Below are 5,634 nucleotides of genomic sequence, written 5' to 3' on the forward strand. Positions count from 1 at the left end.
ACTATAGTTGACAATTATAGATACTAACCTTTAAAAATAAAAACTTAATTTACTCAACATATTTTCAATTCACTAACAACTTATAACTACAATTTAAAATTGTAACAGATTTAATTTTAAAATAATCTTCATGTGGTCGCTATAAAAGTTTCTGACATGCTATGGTTTATATTACAACATCCAAAAAAAAAAAAAAAGATATAACATTCTCATTTTGAAGTTAAGAAAAAAAAGTTCTATTATATCAAAAGTTAAGAAAAAGGTCATGCACAGCTGTTTTGATTGTAATTGCATTACTTTTTTTTTAATTTAAAATATAATTGTTAGGACTAATCATCCTTATATTGTTATTTACTACATAGTTCTGTAAAAGTAGTGTTTTATTATATTTTTGGTAGTTGATTTTTCTTTCCTCTAGCCACTTTATTTAAATTTCCTGTACATATTTGAGTTTGTGCCCCCTGTTTTATAGCATCACAATGGAAGTGCTACTCTGTTGGAGTGAGGAAATTCTATTTGGAGTATGGGACAGGGTACTGATTTCCCACTGTAGTAGGATAATGTTTTCTTAAATATACAAGTCTTGTTGGATAGGAGGGGAGAAATGTGATTCAACAGACAGATAAACCACGGGTATTTATAATCAGGGTGTGGTTACCAAAAAGTCTGATCCTAAGGTGTGGCAGACCAAGTGCCAGGCAGAGACTCTTGGGAAGCATCAAGGACCACCCAGTTCGCTAACTCAAGGAGCCCACTGCATTTACAATCAACAAACACAATTTATGCTCGTATGATTTTGACCTACCTGATTCTTCATATCCACTCAAAAGTCTTATACTTATCCCATAATCATCTGTGGTGTTATTCACAACAAACAAACCAATGTTCCTCATCATTTCTCCAAACTCTCATCTATTTTGAAGCTCATGACAACAGTTTATGACATACATTGCCCCTTTTTGCCACAGCTATTTACAGATCTCCAGATCTGTAATTTTGTCTCCCTCATTCTCTGGAAGTTTAGTAATTCAGCTTACTATCTTTCTCTTCCAAACTATCTCTGCAACTTTTCAGTAAATTTCCTATCCATATACACTATGCTTTCAATATCCATTTACACACGCAGTTCCTTTAGGAATTCTCCTTCAATGGACTTCTGGTCCCTGTTAGTTCAGCCATCTGAACTTTGAAAATTACCAGTAACAGCTAACCCCTCTTCCTCACTTATTACTAGGTTCATCCCATCTTCCAACCAATCCATTGATACTACTGTATTTTCACTGTTCACCATGTCTTTCCTACCCATCTGACTTACATCTTATGACCACTCATTATAACCTCTTTCCATTGTTCATAAAGCCTCAATACCATTATCAACACCCGTGTTTTATTTTCCTGAAAAAATGTTTACTGTTTTCACTGGTTTTTCACTGGTCACCTGTTCTAAGTCATCATCGAATAAGTGAACTTAAAGGAGAAAACCTCACAACAGTGTTGAATGATCTCATTTTAATATCCTGACCACTGAACTCAAGGGATTCCTTAAGGCTGTAGGGTGATACCACTCTATCTCCTTATTCAATTTGCTCTCCCATTATTCTGCGTAACTGTTCCAATTATTCCCCACTCTATGGAACTAGAGCATTTTTCTTCCAGATACATATTCATGGCTATTATTTCACTGAGGAAGTAGAAAGTATATGAAGAAAATGCCTGCATGGACCCATCATCGAGTCTATCGACCTTCCTATACTCCTATCCTCTTCCCACAACAAATAAGCTATATGCTCCTATATAAGTCTCAGCTCTACACTTGTGCAACAGATCCCATTACCTCTTGTTTGCAAAGTGAATTACTCCGGCAACTTCCCTATCATGTTCCTGTATGATCAATGTTTTCCTTATTATTTGGGCATTTTCATTTGTATAGAAACATTGCAGTTTCTACTGCCTTAGAAACAAAGCAACAAAAAAAATAAAAGTCCATTGACTCTGCCTCTTCCTCTAATGCCTGACTTGACTGTTCTATTCAACAAAACTCATTGAAAGTGTAACTGTACTTACCGTCTGAACCCTTTCTCTTCCCATCCTCTCTCCAACAAACTTCAATCAGACTTTGCTTCCTCTACTCTGAAGAAATATCACATGCTGTTGTCATCTCTGCTCACCTGAATCCAGTGGTCAATTATCAGTTCATGTTTAAGTTGACTTAACAGTATCTTTTCACACCCTGTTATCCTTCTACAACTTTTAGAACATTAATTTCCTCAGACCACAACTACATTCTACCTTGGCTTAATTTTTTTTTTTTTTTGCAAGTTTAAACTGATAATTTATTTGTGAGAAAAAAAAGGCTAGTTTTGATGAGAAAAAGTTCAGTCCTTTCCTTGTAAATACAAAGAAACTCAACAGGAACTTTAAAGGTAGTAGGACAGAAAATGCAAGAGTAACTCTTATAATCCTTTTCAATTAAACAGACAAATCAAGTTGAAGACAAGTGTTAAAATACTATTCGGACTGAATATTTATCAGCCTATACATCCTGTTGTTCAATTGTCTTTTGATTTAAAAAAAAAGCAAACCAACAAACTTCTAAGAGGTATCGCCCCATTTAGAGTGATGAAAATAACTTAGTTCCCCTCCCCAAAGATATTTTTTATCCTCTAAAAATGCTATATAATATCTTACACAAATTAACCAGTGTTTTTACAAAAGTAATGCAGTTTTGGACTGATGATATTACACTGGATTTGTGGTAAAGTACTAGGCACAAGATATATATACCAATTAGGCATGTTCAGTCTAATCAGTTTCTAAGGATATCATTTAATTCTTGGTAATATATAATAACTGGTATGATTTTGATACTTAAATCATAAATTGTGGAGAAGAAGAAGCAATGTATTATAGTAACAGGGTTTCTATCTAGCAAACAGTTGTAGTGTTGAACAAAGCTCTTCTATGAACTTACTGAATGTGTTTTGCCGTTGGTCACTTGTTGTAGAGCTTTGATTTGATTCTTCCGTCTTCATGCTTTCTCCACCTGCAGTCTTTAACATTTCTTCATCTTTGTCATCATGTAGGTCTTTTCAAATTAATTCTCTAGCTAGTTTGATATTGAGTCCCTCATTGTAGTGAAGCTTCCTTTTCATTTGAAATTGTCGCCTTTTTTCTCGTTCTTCAGGTGAGAGGTCACTAGCCTCCTCTCCACTGCTTTCTTGTTCCTGAACCCGATACTTTGGGTTCAAGCCTTCAGCAACAGCTAATTTCTTAGCTAAGATATCTGGTGCCACGGCTTCAGTGGTTTCTATACCACTACACGCATCTTCACCATCACCCATCTTACGACAGGAAGGAGTGCTTGGTTCAACTATTTTCATTAAACCATAGTCTTTGTCCGCTGGATGATATGTCGCCAGGATGTTCATTTCTTCCCACTTCTGGGATTTTTTGCTCAGCTCCTCCTCGACACTCCCGCTGGGCTGTTCAGCCGAGGCCACCATAGAGGAAGCTGTAGAGGTCTTGTTCTTCAGGATCCCCTTGACTGGCCAGTGCGAGGCAGTCCAGGCCGCCATTTCTGGGCGCTCTGGCTGTTGGCTCAGGGTCGCTGCTTGGCGTGGAGTCCGGAAGAGAAGAGTCGGGCACTGGCAGAGACCGTCCAGGGAGCCGCGGAGCCCGCTCAGGGCTAAAGCGGCCGCATCTGCCGTCTCAGAAACGGCTACCTGAGTGGTTGTCACGAAACAACGACCCCGGCGCAAGAGCCAACGCCGAAGGAGTGGCGGCTGCTCACGGGCCCTTAACCGCCAGCACTTCAGCCGCTGGCCGAGGGGAGACGCCGGCAAGAGCTCCAGCTCGGGAGCGACGCCAAGCCTAGCGGGCCCGCCCTCTCGCGATATCTTACCTTGGTTTAAATTCTATCACATTGGCAGCTGGTTCTCATTCCCCTTTGCTTATCCTTTCTCATTTTATGGATCTGGAATTTCTTCTGTGTCTACGAACTGAGACTTCCAACCACTTCTCTATTATAGTTTCTGCACCCAGTTGCTAAGTTATTTCGTGCAGTCCAATGCCTGGAAAAGTAGTCTGTATGTTTGATGACTCTGTTATATCACTTTATTCCGAGCTCGGCTTTTGTTTTTGGCACATCATAAGTCCTTTTAAAATACTGTTTGAAGAAATATGGAGATGAGTGAGACCTAAAATATCAGGTATCTTTATACAAGGAGCCATTGAGCTGGCTATTAGCAGAACCAGTGCTAGTCGTTGGACTTTTGATCTTATTTTGAGTCCAAATTAGGAATTCCTTCTTTCATCATGAATTTAAAATGCATTATTTTTCTCTTAAAAATGGTGCCTGCCAGATGATTGATGCCTTTATACTTGAATATCAGTCATTAAACATTTCATTTACAGTCAAAATATACTTAATATACTCAGCACTATTAAATCTCGTTAATTCTGAGAAGGGATTGAATGACTTGCAGTGTCATGATATCTAGCAATTGGGATGTTATAAGAAATACAGCTGATAGAGATAAATAGATGATAAATAACATAATATTCTTTACACAAATTTTTAAAACAAATTACAGCTTTTATTTTTATTTTGGACTAAGATATAACTGGTATCAAGTCAGGAATAGTGTGATCTTGGGAAATTCATTTATAATCTCACATTCCTCCGTTGTAAAATGACAAAAAAAATAACTTTCTCAGTGAGTTGTAAGGAGTAAACAAAATAGAATAGTGTCTGGCAAAAGAGAAGCTCTTTACAAGTTAATAATTATGTTATTATGTAATCACTTAATTCAAATTGACATCAAATTGGAAGTATATTTATTAAATACATTTGTGATGTCAAGATACACTAATATATCTAAGAGATTTAAAACCGAATCATATTTGACTTCTTTTCAGTGTTCATTCCTTTTGTAACAAGTGTGTGGTATTTATTTTAATATTTTTGTTATTGTTTTACTTGAACCATAAAATCACCACATGCTTTCAGAATACAGCATTCCTAGATTCATTCCTGATTCACAGAACTGGCTATGGTAAGAAAACAATAATAATACATTTTAAGCTGATTATTTTATATGTTCTCCAAATCAATCAGTTTCTAGACTACCTCTCCTGGCCCACTACTATAGCATATTTTTTGCAAATGTCAGGGCGTATCTACAGCTTCTGTAATCATAAAAACTAATTTTCAGTCTTGGCACTAAGACTGTTTGCATATATTCGAAAGAATATTTGACTTTTGACCTTCTATTCATTTCCCTAACACTTTTCAAATTTGTCCTTATTGATTCAATTCATTCTCTGTGCAATGTACTTTTTTCATGCCTGGGATATTTTTTGTGTTTGACACAAATGTTTAAGTTAATATAAAATTTAGGTTAAGTACATCAGATACTAAGAATTCTAGTTCAATATATGGTGACCTTTAGAGAATTACTTATGTTAGAAAATACACTTTGTCAATGAATACTTACTTAGAAAAGCATTGTGTCCTGCTCAAGTGTTGCTTAAATAGAATTTATACGGTAGTAGGTCACCTTGAAAAAATATGGCAGATCGTGAAGGAACTGAGAAATAGGTTGAGCTAATGAAAAATGCATTGATGATGCTAAG

General features: G+C 36.4%; 1 pseudogene; it reads right to left on the reverse strand.

The window, feature by feature from the left end:
* PPP1R2P4 (protein phosphatase 1 regulatory inhibitor subunit 2 pseudogene 4) lies at window positions 2,314-3,772 on the reverse strand (annotated as a pseudogene).

Source organism: Homo sapiens, chromosome 13 (assembly GCF_000001405.40).
Source record: "Homo sapiens chromosome 13, GRCh38.p14 Primary Assembly".
Lineage (NCBI taxonomy): Eukaryota > Metazoa > Chordata > Mammalia > Primates > Hominidae > Homo > Homo sapiens.